The sequence below is a fragment of the Homo sapiens genome, chromosome 17 (assembly GCF_000001405.40).
Source record: "Homo sapiens chromosome 17, GRCh38.p14 Primary Assembly".
Lineage (NCBI taxonomy): Eukaryota > Metazoa > Chordata > Mammalia > Primates > Hominidae > Homo > Homo sapiens.
The window spans coordinates 33,866,383-33,890,738 of record NC_000017.11 but is presented as its reverse complement, the minus strand read 5'-3'; the positions used below and the strand labels follow the sequence as shown (position 1 = coordinate 33,890,738).

The 24,356-nt window shown below is 42.7% G+C and overlaps 1 protein-coding gene across 1 annotated transcript in view, besides 1 other annotated feature; it reads left to right on the top strand.

The window, feature by feature from the left end:
- Window positions 1-24,356, top strand: part of ASIC2 (acid sensing ion channel subunit 2) — a 1,143,682-nt gene that overhangs the window by 266,030 nt on the left and 853,296 nt on the right. The window lies entirely within an intron of this gene.
- Window positions 1,490-2,689: an enhancer, noted in NCBI's record as "CDK7 strongly-dependent group 2 enhancer chr17:32215069-32216268 (GRCh37/hg19 assembly coordinates)". NCBI's record gives its function as "activates an origin of replication core promoter dependent on BRD2, BRD4, P300/CBP, MED14 and CDK7 cofactors, with strong dependence on CDK7, by STARR-seq in HCT116 cells {active_cell/tissue: HCT116}" and the evidence as "EXISTENCE:reporter gene assay evidence [ECO:0000049][PMID:35650434]".

The following is a 24,356-nucleotide window of genomic DNA, read 5'->3' as shown; positions in this document are numbered from 1 at the left end:
TTGGAGAAGAGGGCTTAGTGAGAATTGAAGTGTTTGTGTCTTTCCTAAAGGCAACATCCAGCAAAGGGTAGGGCCAGGACTAGGCCCAACTCTACATAGAATGGACGGTGGTTCAGACCTGGACTCTGAAGCAGCATGCCCAGATCCAACTCCTGGGTCCCTATCCATGGCTGGTGAAGGTGGACAAGTCCTTCACTGGGCCTCTGCCACCTCCTCTTTGTGTGCACAGGGTTTCTTGAGGATCAAAAGGAGGATTGTGTTGAAAGCACTTAGAATCATGGTGGCATAAGGCAAACACGTGATGAATGTTGGTTTCCACTATTATTGGGTAGAATGCAGCTGCAATAGAAGACATGCAAAGGCTTTTGAGGAAATGCAAATGACCCATGCAGGATGGGTGTTTACCCCAGTCTCACTTGGAGAAAATACAGTCAACATGGGAGCCAGTTGGTGTTATAATGCATGACAGACCAAATTCTGGGGTCAGCAAATAGAGAGCTGTCCAATAGAATTGTCTAAGTGGCAGCAAGGATTAACCCTGCACTGTCCAGTAAGGTAGCCACTAGCCACAGGTGGCCATTGAGCCCCTGAAATTAGCTAACATAACTAAGGAATGGAATTTTTACTTTTTTAAATTAATGAAAGTAAATTTAAATAACGACTTGTGGCTAGTGGCTACCATATTGAACAGTGCACCTTTAGAGAGAGAAATGGAGCTCCATGCTGGGGTCATGGAACATGGCCTCACCCTGGACTAAGCCTAGATCTATACAAATGCTAGAAGGAGGACATGCTTATCTTGGAACATAACGCTTCTTCATCTGCCTTTTCTGATTCTCACTAAGCTAGCCCAGTCCTCATGAGGTGGTGAGCTCCAGAAGAATTGTTCCTAATGGTTCTGACTTTTGCATCCTCAGGGTCTAGCCCAGCACCTGGCACTTGATGTTCATTAACTCAGGTTCAGCCTAGCTAACTCTCCCGCCTCTTTGCATCTGCACTGGAGTGAGGGCTGATTATCTGTCCCAAGGTGCCCAACCTAACAATGGACGCTAACGAAGATTTTAAGGACAGGTGTGAACATCTGATTGAAAAGGCAGATGTAGGCAAGGAATTGCAACTTACGTTAGTATTATCTTGGTGAGAAGCTAAGCTCCTTCTCTTTGTGGAAGTAAGTTTTTTTTTATAACTGAGAGAATTGTTTTCCATGGGCTAAATTAAACCTACGTTCTGATATAAAATACAACATAATTCAAGTCAATGTTAATAATGATGGCAAATCTTAAGAATTATCTTTCACAGTAAATTACCTCTGAGATTGCAGGTACTCCTTATCAAAAGTAAATTTAATATAAAGAACACTAAACATGCAGAAGTGATAAATTATGGAGAGAATTCACTTCCCTCACTCAATGCCTCTTAGTTTTGAGTTTCAAGTAGCAACCGTGACTTTAGGGAAGTCATTTCCTATCTCTGGGCTGCAGGTTCTTCATCTGAAAAACGAGGGGGGGTTGAACCAGATGCTCTCCAAGGAGCCTTCCAGCTCTGAAAATTTATCAGTCTCCAATTCCATGAAACTGATCTATTTGGCATTTCATTCTCCAGTGCCCTCACCACAAGAGAGAAACCTGCTAATTTAATAAACTGAACAGGCTCCTAGGAGGCAGCTATCAAGAGTAGGTTCCCCTCTCATCCCCTCCCATCCCAAGAAACATTTTTACTCAGCAACATGATTTGCAGTTGCTGAGTCTCTTCTTAAGGCCAGGCCTGGGGAGGGAGGATTGAAGAGAGGAAGAAATTCTTTTGGGTCCCTCTGCTTCCCCCATGCAATGGTTCCTACGTTATTATACTGTGGACCGATTGTGGGAGAGAACCACAAAAGTAGCCAATGACCTCAAAGAAAGGTTTTTCTCCTGCCACCCTTATCCTATAGCCCCTCCACTCACAGCCCCATATTTAATGATCTCCAAATCTCTTTCTGATGTGCACTCAGAACTGCAGTTCAGGGAGGTTAATTGTATTTTAATTGCCTTCTCATCCAGGGGCACCTACATTATCACTTGTGACTAAGAGGCTGGTGGGCAGATGACTCACTCCTTTGGCCCCTGGGTTCTTCTAAAGCAGTCTCACCACACCCCGGTCCCTGCCAGCATCACATTTTCAACAGCGCTCTCCCCTTCTGGTCTTCACCTTCCTGATGCTCCACGTGGTCAGTAATGTTCTTTTTGTCCTTGCTGCTGGGAGTCCCCAGCCTTGGAGCCAAATTGGGGTACAGAGTGGGAAGGTTAGGGTTAGGAGGTGGAGAACAGCTTCCACCACTTAAGCAGAAGAAGTCCTGGAATCTTATGATGCTCAGGAACCACTCGCTCCTACCTCTGACTTCATATTCCAGCCATGTGAGCTTGCAGCACCCCCACACTTGCTATGCTGGGCCTTTGTTCCCACTGCACCCTACCTGTCTTTTACAATTCATCTCAGTCATCACATCTTCCTGCAAGCCTTCCCTGACCTCCCCAATAAGCTGGGTTAGGTGGTCTGTCTCTGTACTCTCACACTACCATCTGTTTAACCATTACATGTATGTATAGATAGGTGCTTCTCCATTTATGATGGGGTTATATCCCTGGTAAACCCATCATAAGTCAAAAATATTGTAAGTAAAAAATGCATTTAATGTGGTCAGCACAGCAGATGGGCCCCGATTTAGGATGATTTGACTTACAATTTTTTCACTTTACAATGGTGACAAAGCAACATGCAAAATCGGCAGAAACCATAACCCCATCCTAAGTTGTAAGGAGTTCCCTGAGGAACTCAATGAGGCTATGTCCATATAAACCCATCCTAAAGTCAAAATATTAAGTAGAACCATGGCAATTCAAGGACTGTCTGTGTATATATTTGCTCTAGATTAAAACAATGTTCTTTTAAAGGCTACACTAAAAAATCTAAAACTGCTCCCTGCAGTGTTCCAGATTAGCTCAGAAACAAGGTAGGGTCTGAGCCTACAGGTGATCAAAACTGAGACACCTAGAGAGGTGCTGACCCGGTGATTTTTCCTAACAAGAACTCCTCATCCCATAAGGCACCAACACTTAAATCTTCTAGAAATGTACACCCAGAACCACAAAAGGTCTCACCTCTCCGCACACCAACCCAAAGCACCAGTCATACCCAGTATTGCTTTTCTGCCTCAGTGGCCTCTGACCTGCTGGGTGCTGCCTTAAAGCTACAAGTCCCTTCCCAGCCCCTGCACAGTAAGCTCCTGTTCACATCTTGAAGACCTCCTCCTGCATGTATATCCTCCAGGAAGCCTTCCCTGATACCTCAATACAGTGCCTTCTTCTTCTAGGACCCCAAAGAGCATTGTTGACTCTTTGATGAACCCTGATCATAGTGTATCCATTTTTATACTGTCTCGCTCTTCTAGACAGTAAGCCACTCTAGGACAGAGACCCTCATCATGTCCAGTGCTTGGCACTGTTCTGGTACGTAGCAGTACACAATACAATGCATGTTTGAGGTCTTAATTAATGTAGAGTGAATGATGAGATTCAGGGAATTAGGCAAAGTGTTGGAAGATACAATTAAGGTCATGGGCTTTTGGCAGCATCTGTTAATGCTTCTCCCACATGGGTACTAGGAACAGGTTTTATGTCGTTTTCTCCTGTTTCAACAAAATTAACTTGATGAGGTTTTCAAACAGTAGGTAGCACCACAGTCGGCTCTCTCCTGCTCCCTGATTCCAAGTCAAGATGGGAAAAAAATGCATTTTTTGTTTTTTTTGTTAGTTTGTTTGTTTGTTTTCTGCCTTTGGTATCTACCTCAGTGCTTCTCAATTTGGAATATGCCTTCAAATCACTTGAGGGTGTTGTTCAAATGCAGATTTTGATCCAGTGGGTCTGGGGTGAAGTCTGAACCTGCATGTCTAGCCCATGATGCCAATACTGCTGTTTCAAGGGAAACACGTCAAGTACTAAGGATTTACTCCATTTTTTTTTTGGTAGAAAGACTGATGTATTCTAATTAGGAGCCTCAAAACCCTAAGAGGACAGTGTAATTTAGGAGAAAGTGAGTTTGGAGTGACTTAGACCCAAGTCAGATCTGGGTCCTATTATTTTTCTATGTTATCTTACTATATTTGTTTAACTTCCTTAAGCCTTTGCTTCTTTGCCTGTACAACTGAAACTAATCTGTAATCTCATGGGCATGTGTGTGTGTATATGTGTGTGTGTTTGAATGAGGATTGCATGTCAGACTGTGTAAGATACTTCTGATTCATCACAGCCTTCTCAGTAACTAGCTGTTGGTTTCCTTGTAAATGGAGCCAGTTTCCAGATTCACTGTTGCTCTTTCTGATCCGATTTCTGTTCCTTTACGATCGGAATCCCTCTCTGGAAGAATGTTACCTTCCCTGCCCCCTGACATCAAAAAGGGTCGTGTGTCTTACCTTGGCCAATGAGATGTGATGTGGATAGAAGCATGTATATTATTTCCAAGCAGAAGCCCTAAGGGCTACTGTGCCTTCTACCATCTTCCCTTTGTCCATCTCTTCAGCCAGGGTCCCAAAACAAAGATGATGGAACTTGCAAGGTAAAGATAGAATAAGTGAGAAATAGGTCTTCTTTTTTTGGAAAGCCACTAAAATTTTGGGATTGTTTGTTACTGCAACATAACTGTTTATGTTTTTATTGATCCTGACTGATAAATTCTGCTGCACATTTATTGCCTTGCTGTCTACTTTATGCAAGGTACTGAGATGGTCATTGAGATTGCACCTATGAATGTGACAGAAGTTATGTCCTCAAAGCAATCATAGTTGAGTGAAGAAGCCAGAAATGAAAATTCCCAAGGATAATACACTACTGAGTTCAGTTCATCTGAATACTGACTTCAGTTCATCTGAACAGGTCTATAATTGAGATGCTTCCAGAGTGCAGAAGAAAAACTGATAAATCCCTCCTAAGGAATTAAGGAAGATGTCATGGAGGAAGGAGCATTTGAATTAGGCCTTGAAAAGTGAGCTGACTTTTAATTGGACATAATAATACATAAATAGCACATAGGACACAGAAGAATAGCATATTTTTGAGTCAGAAGTCCCATATTCCAGGCTTGACTCCAGCAGTTATGATGGTGTGACCTCAAGCAAGACACATAACTTACTGTATGTCATTTTTTTCTTCTGCAAAGTAGAGCTAATGATATATCTCAGTATTCTGGGAAGGTTTAAATTTAAAAGTCTATGTATAAGTACTGCTAAAAACAAATAGCTTATACAATAGACATAGTAATGTGTAATATAATAATCCTGCCCTATAATAGGGTAGATGGTAACACCTGATCACGTTTTTGAGAGCTTGCTTTGTTCTTAACACTGTGCTTAGTAATCTATTAGTATCACACATTTAGTCCCCTCGAAAATCCTATGAGGTAAGTACTATTTTTGTCCTTATTTTACAGAGAAAAGTATAGACTTTGAGTGTAGCAGAGTGGCACAGCGGAAAAGTATAGACTTTGAGAGGTCCAGTAATTTATTTACATACACAGGACAGCAGGACCTGGATGTGGGCAGTTTGACACCAGCCTGTGCTACCAGCCATGCACAACCTTGCCTCCCTGTTAGGAAGGAGAGAGGCCTGAAACTCTACTGTGTGCGCAGGCAGTGGAGCTGGTAAGTAGGGGGCAAGGGCAAAAATAGATGAGGCTTTGAAGGGTTTTTGAAGCTGCTCATTTGGGGACTGCAACACTGGTTGTGATTATAAAATCTTTGAGGATGTTCTCACTGCAGTCCTGTTTCCCTGTGCTTTACACTTTGTCGGAACTCCCCAAGTAATGATAATGCTTTCTTCATTCAACACAACATTTACTGAATGCAGGCAAAGGCCCTGGGAGAAATACAAAAATGAATAAAAGCTACTGTGGGCTTCAGAGTTTGATTATATTCTTTGGGCTTCAGGGAACCATTGAAGGGTTTTGAAGAGGCAAGTCAAAGAGTGAATCTAGCTTAGGGGGTGTGGGGATGGGGTGGGGGGTATCTGAATGTTGTGGCCAATATATTGAAGATATAAGAGCCTGCATGGAGGGAGGCCAAGTGGGAAGCTAAGGGGGTAGTGTAAGGCAGAGCAGGAGGGATAGAGAGGGAGAACAAAATGCTGAAGCTGCTCCAAGGACAGAATTAGGGTTTTCATAATGCTGGGATGTGGGGCATGTTGTGAGGAAGACATCTTAGCTGCCACTAAAGTTCAGAGTCTGAATCCATCAGGATCCAGCAGATAAAAAGAAGGAAAGGGCTACTTACAGAGGTATAAGCAGGGATCAGGGAACTGATAACTATGGAGAAGCATCCAGGAACAAGCAACAGTGGGAACTATCACTATCCCTAGGCCTGAAGGAGTAATATAGGGAAATGGCGTTCCCAGAGCCATGGAGGAGTTGTCACCATAGAATTCAGCTCCTGCTAGTGTGAGAGTGAGGCAGAGAGGGAGCAGGTTGGGGTTGGGGAAATAAATATCCTGACCTGTCTGCCTTCCAACCTTCTAATCTCCCACTGGCCACAACCAATCTTCAGCCAAAGAGCAAGAGAGCCCAGATGGAATGGTGCAGAGGTCAGCCTCCTGACACCCAGCGCCGGACACAGAGAGGCAGGGAAATGGCCATGACCATAGGTGTGCGGTTGCAAACAAGGAATATCCACCATGGTGCCTGAGGTTCTATATAGTCTCGTGGCTACACATTGGGCTCTGGAGCCAGACTCCCTGAATTTGAATCTCAACTCTTACTTCCTAATGATGTGACCTGGGGCAAGTTACTTCACCTATCTGAGCTTTGATTTGCTCATCCGTGCAAAAAAAAATCTAATTGTTGCAAGATAGTGCACAGTGCATTGACTACAATAAGTGTTAAATATGTGTGAATGTTGGTTTTTGTTGTTGTTATTGTTCTTCTTCTTTGTTTTACAGAAATAGAGGTCCATTCATGAATTCAGGGGATGCAGGAAATGCTGGTTGAGGGGGCAGGGAGAAGGGAATGTGATCTTAAGCCTTGAGTCTTGTTCTTACAGGGTCCGTGGTACTTGTGGGCCGTTCATGAGGAGATGGCCAGCAGGCAACTGACATGTGCATCTGGGGCTGAGAAGAGAAGTTATGGGGCTAGAACAGATTTGGAGTTCATCTGTGTGGGAGTGTGGCTCAAGACAGGGCACTAGATGAGGCTGCTTAGGGGCAGCCTGTGGAAAGGGGGAAGTATGGAGTCTTTCTGTATCTGATGAGTCTACAGATCCATTTGCTTTGACTCAATCTTCTAACTGCCATTAAACAACTACATGATTCCCCACCTGCTTCTTCCTGGATACAAGTTCAGTTTTAAGCTAATTGGTTGGATGGTGCTAGAAGCAAAATCTGCAATCTTGTGTGGAGCTAGGCCAATTGACCCACTTGGGGCTGTTTTGTATTCATTCATTCATTCATTCATCAGACTTTTTTTATTAATATTATTATTATACTTTAAGTTTTAGGGTACATGTGCACAACGTGCAGGTTTGTTACATATGTATACATGTGCCATCTTGGTGTGCTGCACCCATTAACTCGTCATTCAGCATTAGGTATATCTCCTAATGCTATCCCTCCCCTCTCCTCCCACCCCACAACATGTTCCCCTTCCTGTGTCCATGTGTTCTCATTGTTCAGTTCCCACCTATGAGTGAGAACATGTGGTGTTTCATTTTTTGTCCTTGCAATAGTTTGCTGAGAATGATGGTTTCCAGCTTCATCCATGTCCCTACAAAGGACATGAACTCATCATTTTTCATGGCTGCATAGTATTCCATGGTGTATATGTGCCACATTTTCTTAATCTAGTCTATCATTGTTGGACATTTGGCTTGGTTCCAAGTCTTTGCTATTGTGAATAGTACCGCAATAAACATACGTGTGCATGTGTCTTTATAGCAGCATGATTTATAATCCTTTGGGTATATACCCAGTAACGGGATGGCTGGGTCAAATGGTATTTCTAGTTCTAGATCCCTGAGGAATCACCACACTGTCTTCCACAATGGTTGAACTAGTTTACAGTCCCACCAACAGTGTAAAAGTTCCTATTTCTCCACATCCTCTCCAGCACCTGTTGTTTCCTGACTTTTTAATGATCGCCATTCTAACTGGTGTGAGATGGTATCTCATTGGGGTTTTGATTTGCATTTCTCTGATGGCCAGTGGTGATGAGCATTTTTTCATGTGTCTGTTGGCTGCATAAATGTCTTCTTTTGAGAAGTGTCTGTTCATATCCTTCGCCCACTTTTTGATGGGGTTGTTTGTTTTTTTCTTGTAAATTTGTTTGAGTTCTTTGTAGATTCTGGATATTAGCCCTTTGTCAGATGAGTAGATTGCAAAAATTTTCCCCCATTCTGTAGGCTGCCTGCTCACTCTGATGATAGTTTCTTTTGCTGTGCAGAAGCTCTTTAGTTTAATTAGATCCCATTTGTCAATTTTGGCTTTTATTGCCATTGCTTTTGGTGTTTTAGACATGAAGTCCTTGCCCATGCCTATGTCCCGAATGGTAATGCCTAGGTTTTCTTCTAGGGTTTTTATGGTTTTAGGTCTAACATTTAAGTCTTTAATCCATCTTGAATTAATTTTTGCATAAGGTGTAAGGAAGGGATCCAGTTTCAGCTTTCTACATATGGCTAGCCAGTTTTCCCAGCACCATTTATTAAATACGGAATCCTTTCCCCATTTCTTGTTTTTGTCAGGTTTGTCAAAGATCAGATGGTTGTAGATGTGGGGTATTATTTCTGAGGGCTCTGTTCTGTTCCATTGGTCTATATCTCTGTTTTGGTACCAGTACCTTGCTGTGTTGGTTACTGTAGCCTTGCAGTATAGTTTGAAGTCAGGTAGCGTGATGCCTCCAGCTTTGTTCTTTTGGCCTAGGATTGACTTGGCAATGAGGGCTTTTTTTTGGTTCCATATGAACTTTAAAGTAGTTTTTTCCAATTCTGTGAAGAAAGTCATTGAGCTTGATGGGGATGGCATTGAATCTATAAATTACCTTGGGCAGTATGGCCATTTTCACGATATTGATTCTTCCTACCCATGAGCATGGAATGTTCTTCCATTTGTTTGTATCCTCTTTTATTTCATTGAGCAGTGGTTTGTAGTTCTCCTTGAAGAGGTCCTTCACATCCCTTGTAAGTTGGATTCCTAGTTATTTTGTTCTCTTTGAAGCAATTGTGAGTGGGAGTTCACTCATGATTTGGCTCTCTGTTTGTCTGTTATTGGTGTATAAGAATGCTTGTGATTTTTGCACATTGATTTTGTATCCTGAGACTTTGCTGAAGTTGCCTATCAGTTTAAGGAGATTTTGGGCTGAGACGATGGGGTTTTCTAGATATACAATCATGTCATCTGCAAACAGGGACAATTTGACTACCTCTTTTCCTAATTGAATACCCTTTATTTCCTTCTCCTGCCTGATTGCCCTGGCCAGGACTTCCAACCCTATGTTGAATAGGAGTGGTGAGAGAGGGCATTCCTGTCTTCTGCCAGTTTTCAAAGGGAATGCTTCCAGTTTTTGCCCATTCAGTATGATATTGGTTGTGGGTTTATCATAGATAGCTCTTATTATTTAGAGATACGTCCTATCAATACTTAATTTATTGAGAGTTTTTAGCATGAAGGGCTGTTGAATTTTGTCAAAGGCCTTTTCTGCATCTATTGAGATAATCATGTGGTTTTTGTCGTTGGTTCTGTTTATATGCTGGATTACGTTTATTGATTTGCATATGTTGAACCAGCCTTGCATCCCAGGGATGAAGCCCACTTGATCATGGTGGATAAGCTTTTTGATGTGCTGCTGGATTCGGTTTGCCAGTATTTTATTGAGGATTTTTGCATCGATGTTCATCAGGGATATTGGTCTAAAATTCTCTTTTTTTGTTGTATCTCTGCCAGGCTTTGGTATCAGGATGATGCTGGCCTCATAAAATGAGTTAGGGAGGATTCCCTCTTTTTCTATTGATCAGAATAGTAGTTTCAGAAGGAATGGTACCAGCTCCTCCTTGTACCTCTGGTAGAATTCGGCTGTGAATCCATATGGTCCTGGACTTTTTTTGGTTGGTAAGCTATTAATTATTCCCTCAATTTCAGAGCCTGTTATTGGTCTATTCAGAGATTCAACTTCTTCCTGGTTTAGTCTTGGGAGGGTGTATGTGTTGAGGAATTTATCCATTTCTTCTAGATTTTCTAGTTTATTTGCATAGAGGTGTTTATAGTATTCTCTGATGGTAGTTTATATTTCTGCGGGATCAGTGGTGATATCCCCTTTATTATTTTTTATTGTACCTATTTGATTCTTCTCTCTTTTCTTCTTTATTAGTCTTGCTAGTGTTCTATCAATTTTGTTGATCTTTTCAAAAAAACCAGCTCCTGGATTCATTGATTTTTTGAAGGGTTTTTTGTGTCTCTATTTCCTTCAGTTCTGCTCTGATCTTAGTTATTTCTTGCCTTCTGCTAGTTTTTTAATGTGTTTGCTCTTGCTTCTCTAGTTCTTTTAATTGTGATGTTAGGATGTCAATTTTTGATCTTTCCTGCTTTCTCTTGTGGGCATTTAGTTCTATAAATTTCCCTCTACACACTGCTTTAAATGTGTCCCAGAGATTCTGGTATGTTGTGTCTTTGTTCTCATTGGTTTCAAAGAACATCTTTATTTCTGCCTTCATTTCGTTATGTACCCAGTAGTCATTCAGGAGCAGGTTGTTCAGTTTCCATGTAGTTGAGCAGTTTTGAGTGAGTTTCTTAATCCTGAGTTCTAGTTTGATTGCACTGTGGTCTGAGAGACAGTTTGTTACAATTTCTGTTGTTTTACATTTTCTGAGGAGAGCTTTACTTCCAACTATGTGGTCAGTTTTGGAATAGGTGTGGTGTGGTGCTGAAAACAATGTATATTCTGTTGATTTTGGGTGGAGAGTTCTGTAGATGTCTACAAGGTCCGCTTGGTGCGGAGCTGAATTCAATTCCTGGATATCCTTGTTAACTTTCTGTCTCGTTGATGTGTCTAATGTTGACATTGGGGTGTTAAAGTCTCCCATTATTATTGTGTGGGAGTCTAAGTCTCTTTGTAGGTCTCTAAGGACTTGCTTCATGAATCTGGGTGCTCCTGTATTGGGTGCATATATATTTAGGATAGTTAGCTCTTCTTGTTGCATTGATCCCTTTACCATTATGTAATGGCCTTCTTTGTCTCTTTTGATCTTTGTTGATTTAAAGTCTGTTTTATCAGTGACTAGGATTGCAACACCTGCCTTTTGTTTTCCATTTGTTTGGAAGATCTTCCTCCATCCCTTTATTTTGAGCCTATGTGTGTCTCTGCACGTGAAATGGGTCTTCTGAATAGAGCACACTGATGGGTCTTGACTTTTTATCCAATTTGCCAGTCTGTGTCTTTTAATTGGAGCATTTAGCCCATTTACATTTAAGGTTAATATTGTTATGTGTGAATTTGATCCTGTCATCATGATGTTAGCTGGTTATTTTGCTCGTTAGTTGATGCAGTTTCTTCCTAGCCTCAGTAGTCTTTACAGTTTGGCATGTTTTTGCAGTGGCTGGTACCGGTTGTTCCTTTCCATGTTTAGTGCTTCCTTCAGGAGCTCTTTTAGGGCAGGCCTGGTGGTGACAAAATCTCTCAGCATTTGCTTGTCTGTAAAGTATTTTATTTCTCCTTCACTTATGAAGCTTAGCTTGGCTGGATATGAAATTCTGGGTTGAAAATTCTTTTCTTTAAGAATGTTGAATATTGGCCCCCACTCTCTTCTGGCTTGTAGAGTTTCTGCCAAGAGATCAGCTGTTAGTCTGATGGGCTTCCCCTTGTGGGTAACCCGACCTTTCTCTCTGGCTGCCCTTAACATTTTTTCCTTCATTTCAACTTTGGTGAATCTGACAATTATGTGTCTTGGAGTTGCTCTTCTCGAGGAGTATCTTTGTGGCATTCTCTGTATTTCCTGAATGTGAATGTAGGCCTGCCTTGCTAGATTGGGGAAGTGCTCCTGGATAATATCCTGCAGAGTGTTTTCCAACTTGGTTCCATTCTCCCCATCACTTTCAGGTACACCAGTCAGACATAGATTTGGTCTTTTCACATAGTGCCATATTTCTTGGAGGCTTCGTTCATTTCTTTTTATTCTTTTTTCTCTAAACTTCTCTTCTTGCTTCATTTCATTCATTTGATCTTCCATCACTGATCTCCTTTCTTCCAGTTGATCGAATCGGCTATTGAGGCTTGTGCATTTGTCACATAGTTCTCGTGCCATGGTTTTCAGCTCCATCAGGTCTTTTAAGGACTTATCTGCATTAGTTATTCCAGTTAGCCATTTGTCTAATTTTTTTCAAGGTTTTTAACTTGTTTGCTATGGGTTCGAACTTCCTCCTTTAGCTCAGAGTAGTTTGATCATCTGAAGCCTTCTTCTCTCAACTTGTCAAAGTCATTCTCCATCCAGCTTTGTTCTGTTGCTGGTGAGGAGGTGTGTTCCTTTGGAGGAGGAGAGGCGCTCTGATTTTTATAATTTTCAGTTTTTCTGCTCTGTTTTTTCCCCATCTTTGTGGTTTTATCTACCTTTGGTCTTTGATGATGGTGACGTACAGATGGGGTTTTGGTGTGGCTGTCCTTTCTGTTTGTTAGTTTTCCTTCTAACAGTCAGGAACCTCAGCTGCAGGTCTGTTGGAGTTCGCTGGAGGTCCACTCCAGACCCTGTTTGCCTGGGTATCAGCAGCGGAGGCTGCAGAACAGCGGATATTGTTGAACAGCAAATGTTGCTGCTTGATCGTTCCTCTGGAAGTTTTGTCTCAGAGGAGTACCCAGCTGTGTGAGGTGTCAGTCTGCCCCTACTGGGGGGTGCCTCCCAGTTAGGCTACTCGGGGGTCAGGAACCCACTTGAGGAGGCAGTCTGTCTGTTCTCAGATCTCCAGCTGTGTGCTGGGAGAACCACTACTCTCTTCAAAGCTGTCATACAGGGACATTTAAGTCTGCAGAGGTTTCTGCTGCCTTTTGTTTGGCTGTGCCCTGCCCCCAGAGGTGGAGTCTACAGAGGCAGGCAGGCCTCCTTGAGCTGCAGTGGGCTCCACCCAGTTCGAGCTTCCCGGCTGTTTTGTTTACCTACTCAAGCCTGGGCAATGGCGGGTGCCCCTCCCCCAGCCTCACCAGTTTGATCTCAGACTGCTGTGCTAGCAATGAGCGAGGCTGCATGGGCGTAGGACCCTCCGAGCCAGGAATGGGTTATAATCTCCTGGTGTGCCATTTGCTAAGACCGTTGGAAAAGCACAGTACTAGGGTGGGAGTGACCCAATTTTCCAGTTGCCGTCTGTCACCCTGTTCTTTGACTAGGAAAGGGAATTCCCTGACCCCTTGAGCTTCCCGGGCGAGGCGATGCCTTGCCCTGCTTTGGCTCATGCTCGGTGTGCTGCACCCACTGTCCTGCACCCACTGTCCGACACTCCCCAGTGAGATGAACCCGGTACCTCAGTTGGAAATGCAGAAATCACCCATCTTCTGCGTTGCTCACGCTGGGAGCTGTAGACTGGAGCTCCTATTCGGCCATCTTGGCTCCACCACCTCATCAGACTTTTATTCAGCACATGCAGCATATCATACTGTGGAGAAAAAAAGAAAATAATTAAGAAATGTGAGGCCTTGGCCTCACTAGTAGCTTTCTATTACCTATTGTAATTGTTTAGACACTTTGGTGTTTGCTGTGGCAAAGCACACATTCCTGGACTTTTGTGAGCTTAGAAATAACAGAGAGCTCTGCTCCCAGGCTCAGGAAAGCAAAAGTAACCTGAACGCGTGCCAAACTCAGATTCCATCCGTAATGCACGGGTTCCTGGGTGACAGGAACATTTCGAGGGAAGCTGAAGTTCTCAGCTGGATGCATGGAGAATCAGTAGAATCAGTTCTGCAGAAGCCCATGGATATCATCTGTCCTTTAGATACCACAGTCCACTTGTGAGGCTGGACTGGACTTGCTCTACTTCCTTTCCATCCAACTGAGCATGAGAAGCAGACTTGGTTCAAATTCTAGATGACTGCTGGACTCTGAGCTCTGTGTGGGTGAGGGAGGCTTCTTAACTTTTATGTGATTTATTTTCCTTATTTATAAAATGAGGACAGTAATTATACTCCTCACAGAGTTGTTGGACAGATTAAATGGAGATAGTACAATCAAGTGGTGGTCCCTGGTAAATGGTTAGTAGAAAAGGAGCTCAAAAATATAAATTACTCAAGTTTGTTTTGTTAGAGTTATTTTTAAAACATTTGCTCAATCGTAGATATTGTGGTTTCAAAGGGATCTTCGAAGTCTTGTTTTGTAACCACATCATGCACCAAGTGACCAGGTATCCTAGGCACCCACAGTAACAAGGTCTGGAGAGTCTTCCAAGGTGGGCAATTCCATGTGGGTGACACTAAGACTCCTCTTCTCTTCGCATAACTTCTCAAGGAGTGAAATGAGTTAACCTTTCCTGTTTCATTTCATTCTCACTGTGTCCCTATGGTGTTACAGAAGGCCATAACCGTAGTCCCGTTTTACAGATGAAAATGCAGAGGTACAAAGAAACAAAGATAACAGAGCCAGTAAGTGCCAGCACAGGAACTTGAACCAAAGTCCTTTGAATCTCGATCCCAAGTACTTTGAATAATATGCTCCTCTACTCGTTTAGACCCATTTTTATTTTTTTATTTTAAATATGTTTGATATGAAGTTATTTTCTTTTAAAGTAGCACAATTGAGAATCTTTTTCTAATTGAAACATTTTTCTCCTTTTTTGTGATAATAAAATTTCACTGCTCTTTACTGGAATTCAGAGACCTCCATTGAGTGGTATTACAAAAGCTGGGATTATAGCACTCACTCTTAGGTCCTTTACCCTTTCAAGGAGATTGTTCTTTAAAAAAAAAAAATCCATCCAGTTAAGCATTTTCCTGTGGGTCAAGCACTTTGGCTTGAGTGAAATGAGACAGCCAAGAGTTTTTATTCTGCCATATTCATTAAGCATCTTCTTAGTGCACAGATAGAAGTTGGGGAGGGCAGGTCAGGAAAAAGATTTAAGGAGAGGAGCAAGAAAATGACTAGCCCAGAAGTTCAGAGGTGAACTTGGCTCCCCAAAGTCTCTGAAATGGGGCTTTGGGGACTGAGTGGCTGTTAAGTAAAGGAGACACAAAATCCCATATATGACCGAGGATTCTGCTGGGAGGGGCAGTGGCCTAAAAACCTTCTGTTTTCATTTTCAGCTGTCTCTGTCTTTTGAGAGTTCTCTCACTTTGAGCCACTTTTGCCAAAGCAACTACATAGTTTATAATGTGTTGTTATAAAAAGCATTTGCAGCAAGAGGATGCTGGGATGGCGATCTGGGTGAAATTGGCCAGCAGTATTCTGGAAAACTCTGCTCATCCATCAGGGGGACTTCTATTTTTAACAATAATGAGTCCAATTATGTGTTAGCCTCAGTTTCCTATTCTATTTCCATTTATTCAGCAAATATTAACTGAGCATATACTATGGACTGGTACTGTTAAGTGATTGAGCCCACTTTTTTCCACTCCATGGGAAATCATCAACTCCCCACAGCACTGACATTCCAATCCCTGCATTATTCCCGCATTCCTGGACTCCCTTTGGCTCTCCAGGTGAATAGCTCCAGTAGATATTGGCTCAAATGCATGATCCCTGCCCTCTTGGAGCTTAAAAACTAGCTGCCTTGGAGCTTTGTCACTGGAGCTTGTCATGGGACAAGATGGGGGAGGGCAGTTAATTTTATCAGGACAGGAATACTGCTGGGAAGGAGGGGCAAGACTGGTCATAGGTGTGGTCCCCGGTAATCAGCCAGCCACATGGTTAGAAAAAGATACTCAAAAAGCATGTGGTGATCAGCAACAGGAGACTCCCACCAGAGGTAACTTCAGGCAGTGGAACAAAGTGATGGAGAACTGTGGAACAGGAACTATTGAGAAGCACTGGCCAGCAGAGATTGGCATGAGGCCAGCAAAGGAGGGTGGGGATGCCAGTAGGACGGTGATAGAAAGAGGAAGTCAGGATGTTTGGGGTATGAAGAAAGGGGTTACCATCTAGCAGCTCAGTGGCAGGGGAACAAAGTTGCATCTTTCTGATCTGGGGGCAAGGCCCAGTTCCAGACGAGGTTAAGCCATTATCAGAACTGGGGCTCGAGGTCAAGAGGACACGGCAGGAAGAATGGTTGGCTTCAGACTAAGGTTGCTTGGTTTAGCAAATGAAAATACAGAACACCCAGTTAAATTTGAATTTCAGATAAATAACAAATAATTGTTAATATAAGTATACCCCATTCAATATTTGGGACATACTTATACTAAAAATATTTATTGCTTATCTAGAATTAAAATTTAGTTGATGTCCTGTATTTTATCCGGCAGCCCTAGTTGAAGCAGAGGTCTAAAGTCCTTTCATCCCTTCTGCTCGTATGGTCAGCTCCAAGAAGGGTAAAATAGACATTCTAAGGAGTTCTTGGAGCCAAGGGGGCCCAGCCAGCTGTGACAGAGGCAACATTCTCTCTTTTCACCAGGGCATCGCTAGATGGTCACTTCTACCGAATCCTAGGAGAAAGGGTGAAGTTGAGTAGTGCAATTTGATTAATATTAGAACCTAGGAGAGGCCAAGCCCGAAGACGTGGGGCTAAAACCCAGGCTCCAGGCCATTAGCTCAAAGTCTTCTGAGATGAGAAAGACTAAAAGCAGAATTCAGCCTGAAAGAACTGGTTCCAGGCAGGAAGCCCCAGCTGCCTGGCTATGACATAGGTTTCAGCCCCTTCCTCCTAAGTGCCAGAGGTAAGACCAGTGGAAGGGAGTTGGGGCCATAGACTATTCTCTCACAAAGAGGGGAGCTTGAGGCATCTGCTTCTAGGCACCAAAACGGTCGGGCATGATTCTCATTCTCTCTGGAGGTATCACTAGTACCTGGGGGTGGGATGAACTATGCACAAGGTTAGACAGGCATGGGCTTGAATCCTACTTCTGCCTGAGTTTTGAAAGTTTGCATTGGGTGCTTTTGTACATGGTATTACCCCGTTTTAATCTTTACAACAATTCTTTATAAGACTGAAATCTATATTATTACCCAATTTTTACAGATAAGGATTTTGAGGCTCAGAGAGGTAAAGAAACCTATACAAGGTCACACAGTAGTAAGTGATGGCCTCAAGAATGATCCCAAATCCTTCTGACTTTTTCTCTACACCACAATGCCTGTCAAGGACATAGAGAGAGGAATCCCCACCACAAAGCAGAAGGTCTTGGCCTTTGTCCTGACTCACTACTCAGCATGAGCCAGACCACTGTAGCTTAAGTAGGCTTTCCTCCAGTCAATCACCCATTCTAGTTCCTGCTAAGCACTTATCACTCTCTGAAGTCAGTTTGTGTGTTCATGGCTTACGTGTAATTTGTCTGTCTCCTCATCATACTGTTCTGTTACTGGGAAGGGGGATAATCCTTATCTTTGTCGTCTTGGGAGAAAGATTTTGACCAAGAGACAGTTTAGCCAAAAAAAGAATGTATTGAAGGAAAATGGAGAGCAAAGAGTTTATTTAGAGAGATAGTACACTCTGAAAGATGAGGCAGAGTGGGCTGATGAAGGAGAATGGGCCGGCAACAGCCCAGGAGTTCTGCGTTGGGTTTTTATGATGTCAGATTTTTTCTTGAAGTTCTTGTCTCTGTCTTAAGTCTCTGCCTTTTTCTTGGTCTAGTTTTCCTGCTTCTGCCTTCAGTCCCCACCTTTCCCCTTGCCTAGTTCCCACCCCAGGCTTGTGGAACCCTCCTTTACTATTTGCTGGTGCCCATGCGTGGGCCAGGTATTGGTTACCAGTGCTGCCTTATGGCTGCATTGCTCATTACCGCCACCCAGGAAGGTTGTATAGTGGTCAGATCCATACTTAATGTGCCTCTGTATCTCTAAGGAATTTCTCCTTTGCCCTCGTCTCCTCCTTATCAGCATGTAGCTAGCGACAAACTGACAGGTGAACTGCTGGGTGAGCGATTACTGGGGGTCTTAAGGGGTGTTCCTTCCAGCATAGGTATTTCCCCTCCTCTGCTCATACCTAGCTTGCAGGTTTCAGGTGATCTCTGGGGTGTGAGATTCTCCAGACCTCCCTTTTCTCAAGGGCTGCCCCTGCTGCTCAGGTCTAGCTAATAATATCTGCTGACTCTAACAGTTCCATGAGAATAGGTGTCTGAGCTCTCTTGTCGAGCTCTGTATCACTAGAATCTGAAGGAATACCTGGCTCATAACAGTCCTCAGAAACCACATACGGGTTGAATGACTGAATGATTGAGCCAATCCATCTATCCATCTTGGTGTCTCCATCTCTTTGCTCATCTTCCTGCCTGACCCCTCAGACTGACACTTGGTTCAGGCTGTGTGTAGGGTCTTGGCTTCCCTCTATCTTGGGCTTCTGTGGCCCGATGTTCTGTGGCGTAAGGTCTGTCATCCCCACTCCTTGCTTCAGGCTCAGCTCCAAGATTCTCAGGCTGGGCTTAAAGGGGGACCTCAAACACAGGAAGCAACAGAAGACTATTTACACCCCCTCTCTGCTGAGGGGAGGGAAGTCCTAATGCCCTCCTGGCTGATATCTGGCTGGTCCAGGCGAGTCACTTGCAAGGGAGATGGGATGGTGACTCTAGGGTAGGGTGGCGGAGGGGCCTGAGCCTGCAAGTGGGAGGAGAGAGGGATCTCAAGAACAGCATGGCTCATCAAGAACATGAGCCCCCTCCTTGTTTTTCTGAGGTCCAAGCTCTCTCTCTCTCCCTCTGCAGAGTGTGACTCAGCCCAAAACCTCACCCCACCCAGAGGTGTGTACAGCTGACAGACTAATTACCCCCTTTGCCATGACTCAGCGCCCAGTGCTGCCTGTCTGCCGCCAGCTCATCATCCAGAGACTGTTTACTATCACCTCCAGCCATACATAATTCATCAGCCTCCCTCTTTCCGGTAGCTGTCATCCCTCCTCCTCCCGTAATTCAGGTGGCAAAGTCCCCTTCTGAGGACTCTGAGGACACAAAGGTCCCCACCTTACTAAGGAGGCTGCCCTGAGAGAAGACACCTTTAGACTAGAATGGAGAGGGTGGGAGGGTCCTCTCTCCAGATCCTGAGCAAGACAAGGGTATATGCTTGGAGAAAAGCATCACACACACCCCTCCTTCCTTCCTAGCCGCTCCCTGCCCGCCAGGACCTTCTCCACTCATTGTCCATCCTGGAAACTGGGAAAGTCAGAAAGTGAAGATGAGCAGGGAGAAGGAGGTGGGGTTGACACTGTGGAGAGAAGCTGGAGGGTGTGGCAGTGCCTCTGCTGCCTTGCCGCAGGTAGTTAGCTTTATGTGTGTTATTTCTTCAAGTGCTGCCCAAAATACTTTCCATTTGTAGAGGGCTTTTAATGACTTCAAGGTGTTAACTTGCTGCAGTCTGATTCTCCCTCCGCCCTGTGATGTCCACCCTCTCTGAGTGCCCCAGCCTCATTCAGCTTCTGAACTCCTCCATCCTCCTAGGGCACAGGAACTAGAAGGAATCTGGCATCTATCCGGGAGAGCCTATAGCTGGATGCTCAGTGCCCATGCAGGAGGAAGGGAGAGGAGGAGGGGACAGTCACTCTGTGCTTGATCATGGCATCTCACATCTTGCACAAAAGGAAAACCCACTCTGATTTGGCTGAAGCCAAGATGCCCAGCTTCATGCCAGCATCTCAGGGGGTGGGGTGGGCACAAGCAAAGCGCATTCAGGACAGTTTGCAAGGCAAAGGTCTTATCTCTCTAGCTCCTGCCTTCCTACTGAAGCAGCCATCAGAGTTTATTATGTTTAGCACTTATATTAAGCCTACATATGTCAGGCATTGTTCTAAAAGTTTTCCCAATATTAATTAATTTAACCCTTGTAATCATCTAACAAGGTAAGTTTATTATTGCAATTGCACAGATGGAGAAGATCTGTTCTAAGAGTTGTCAACACTTAGACCTTTCAGGTGAACCTCAAATATATGAGAATTGATTAGTGAATAGCTCCCTTTCCCTATTTCTAAGAGGCTCTGGCCTGAGACTTTTCTCCCCACACCCACCCACTCATCCCAACAAGTAGATTCCGAAAATTGTACTTTCCTCTGCTCACCTGCTTAAGCTAGAAAACTGGGGTGGCACCCTGAATTCTTCCTCCCGTACCCTCACCAAATTCAACCCACCACCATGACCTTTTGTCCTACCCTCTAAATGCCTGTCAGCTGAGAGAGGAATGGACCAAGTCAAGCAAAGTGTTGTGGGCTGTGATGAGGAATTCTAGTTTTTAAATTTATTATTATTATTTTTGTCTAAGCACTTTATCAAGGGATCTCTGGCTGCTTCTTGCTGGTCTTTCTGTGTTCGTTCTTTCTCTCTCCCAAACCCATTCTCCAAACAGCAACCACAGAGAGCCTTTGATGAAGTGCTTAGACAAAAAAAAAAAAAAAAAAAAAAAAAAAACAGAATTTCTCATCACAGCCCACAAGGCTTTGCTTGACTTGGTCCATTCCTCTCTCGGCTGAATTTTTTATCTGAAGCATCTATTACGGTTTCTAATGTGGTATCAATTAGATATGATTCTGTGTTTGGCAACTGTCTTTATCACTAGACTATGCTCCATCAGAGCAAGAGATGCATTTCATTTTTTCTGCTATGCTCCCTGTGTCTAGTACTATACCTGACATCCTGTAAATCAGGGGCTGGCAAACTACAGCCATTGGGCCAAATACAGCCTGCCATCTGGTGTTTTGTTTGTTTTTCAGTGTAACACTTTTATTGAGATATAATTCACATTACACATAATTCACTCATTTAAAGTGCACAGTGCAATGGCTTTTAGTATAAACACAGAGTTGTGCAACTATTATCACAATCAATTTTAGGATATTTTTATTATCCCAAAAAAGGAATTTATTAGCAGTCACTGCCCAGTTTTCTCTCACTTCTCACTCTTAGCCATAGGCAACCATTAATTTCCATTGGCCTCTACAGATTTGCCTAATCCCAATATTTTATATAAATGGAATCATAACATATGTGGTCTTTTCTAACTTTGTTCTTTTACTTAGCTGATGTTTTAGAAGTGCATCCATATTGCAGCATGTATCTATACTTCATTCTTTTTTATGAATGAATAATATTCCACCATGTAGGTATACCACATTTAATTTATTCATTCATCAGCTGATGGACATTTAGATTGTTTCTACTTTTTGACTATTATAAATAATGGTACTATGAACATTCAGGTACAAGTTTTATGTAGGCATGTGTTTTTATTTCTCTTGAGTATATACCTAAAAGCGGACTTGCTGGGTCAGTTTTGAGGAACTGCCAGGTTGATTTTCTAAACACTTGTGCCATTTTACGTTCCCACCAGCAGTGTATGAGGGTTCCAATTTCCCCACATCTTTGCCAACAATTAATATTCTTTGTTTTTTTTTAATTATAGCTATTCTAGAGGTTGTGAAATGGCATTTTCATTGTGGGTTTCAATGTGCATTTTACTGATAGCTAATGATAGTGAGCGTCACTTCGTGTGCTTATTTGCCATTCGTATATCTTCCTTGGAGGATTATCTATTCATATCCTTTGTTTTGCTTTGTTTTGTTTTCTCTTTTGAGACAGAGTCTCACTCTGTTGCCCAGGGTGGAATGCAGTGCTGAGATAACAGCTCACTGCAGCTTTGAACTCCTGGGCTCAAGTGATCCTCCAACCTCAGCCTCCCAGTTAGCTGGGACTACAGGCATGCACCATCATGCCAGGCTAAGTTTTTTAATTTTTAGTAGAGACAAGGTCTTACTATGTTTCCCTGGCTGGTCTTAAACTCCTGGCTTCAAGTGATCCTCCCATCTTGGCCTCCCAAAGTGGTGGGATTACAGGTATGAGCCACAATGCCTGGCCCCTTTGTACATTTTTATTTATTTATTTTTATTGTTGATCTGTAAGAGTTCCTTATATATTTGGGATACAAGTACTTGATTAGGTACGTGATTTACAAAAGTTTTCTCCCATTCTGTGGGTTTTCTTTTCTCTTTCTTGATGGTGCCCTTTGGGCACAAAAGTTTTAATTTTAATGAAGTCCAATCTATTTTTTCTTTTGTTCCTTGTACTTGTAGTGCCATATCTAAGAAAACATTCTCTAACCCAAGGGCTCAGAGATTTATGCCTATATTTTTTTCTAATAGTTTTATATTTTTAGCTGTTACATTTTAAATCTATGATCCATTTTGCATTAAAACTTTTGCAAATGGTGTGAGGTAGGGGTCTGACTTCATTCTTGTGCTTATGGCTATCTAGTTGTTTCATGTCATTTATTTTTGTAAATAAAGTTTCATTGGAACACAGGCATACCCATTGTTTTACATACTATCTATAGCTGTTTTCATCCCACAGTGGCAGAGTTGAATAGTTACTACAGAGATTGTATAACTTGTAAGTCTGAAATATTTATTATCTCTTCCTTCACACACACACACACACACACACATACACACACACACATACATTTGTTGACCCTGCCATAAATAGTTTTTGGGCACATAAATAAATTATAGCTGAGATTTGATTAGTATATACATTTATGATTTCTAATGCTCAGAGAGAAAAAAAAATGTTCCTAGCTCTTGCTAAGATCAAATGGCTTCAATGACTTACTGCAGAAAAACCTTCTCACACAGAAATTATGAACCAGGAGATGTGAATTCAAGTCTGAATTTTGCCACTTGCATGCATCATCTTGGGAAGAAGCCACTGACATCGTGGTCCCTAAACCCCATGTCCCTGCTTAGCTTTCAGAGGGTGACAGCAGTGCTGTATCTCTGGTGTGACTGGGGCATTCACATTTCTTTTTGCACTTTCCTGTCTGCCTTGATAAGGTAAAGATATAGACATGATCCCAGAAAAAGAACCCCTGTGTCTTCTACCTGTGACAGCAGAAGCCCTCAAGCAGTTGCCAGAGCAGCTGAAACCAGGCCTCTTCGTGGGGCTCCAAAACACTGCTGCATTTACCCAAGGAGAGAAATCTCCCCAGTAGAACCTCAGCCCCCTGAAGGAGACAGGCAGTCTTTCCCTTGTGTCCCCTTGCCTGCATCTGTGATAACCCTCATAGCCTCCTTAATTGAACTTTTGCTTTGCCTTTTGTTAAAATGTCTTGTGGTTGGCAAAAGGGCCCAGTCTTTGGAATTGGATGGAGATGATTGTTAATCTTACTCTTCCTGGACTAGCTGTGCAACCTTGGTAAGTTCATTTTATTCTCTTTGAGCCTTACATTCTTCATCTGAGAAACAGGGAAGAATAATAAATATATCTAGTTATTGTGAAAATTCTAGAGATAAATAAATCATTACCGTGAAGATCCTGGTGCATTACAGGGGATCAGGAAAGAGGAGTTGTTGATAATATTCATATCCTACTTTTAAACTGGGGAAACTTCAGCCAGCCTGAAAATCTAAAAATATTTTTTAGATATAGCAGATATAGCAGAAAATCTAAAAAATTTTCTATGAAGCTCTTTCTGATACTTTTGAAAGTGTTTGTTCCCTCCTCTACACATATATACCATGCCATATCTCCATTGCAGAACTTCTGCCTTAAGTCTCTGTTTCCCAGATTCCAACTGTGGTTGGATAATCAACGTCTGCAGCAGTAGCTGGCACATGGCCCTCAATTAGTGTCTGAACATCTGCATTCACATTACATATTCTTTTTTTCCTGCATGACTGATGTGTCCAAGGGACCACAATTCAGAAATCATTGGGATCCAAATGAATGAATGAGCTTCTTTAAGTCTAGGGTCTTCTGCTTTAGGCTAGTGAGATGTTCAGACAAAATCCAAGAAGCACATTTCAGAGACTGGCTTCTTCTTAGGCCCTGGAGGAGATTTTGTGAACTGTGATCTCCATCTGTAGGTCTATGGCATCTCTGGACCCCACTTCCTCACTCAATCCATTCAAGGTTGCCTGACATATAGAGATCAGTCAGGGATCCTACATTTTATGGGACGATTGGTACCTGGAGTGTGTTCAAGGCAGCAACCAGAAAGATGAGAGTCAAACACAGATGAAAGAATCAGAGAGTTGAATAAAATTAACTTAAGAAACCTGGAAGTATGAACATTTTAAATACATATACTCTTTGACTCTCAGAATTTCACTCCTAGGAATTCATCCTAAGGAATAATCACATAAGTGCTCAGAGATAAATGTACAAGGATATTTATGGAAGCATTGTTTTTTCAAAAAAAAATATGTGGGGGGTTGAAAACAATCAAAATTTTCATCAATAGAAAACTATGAAGATAT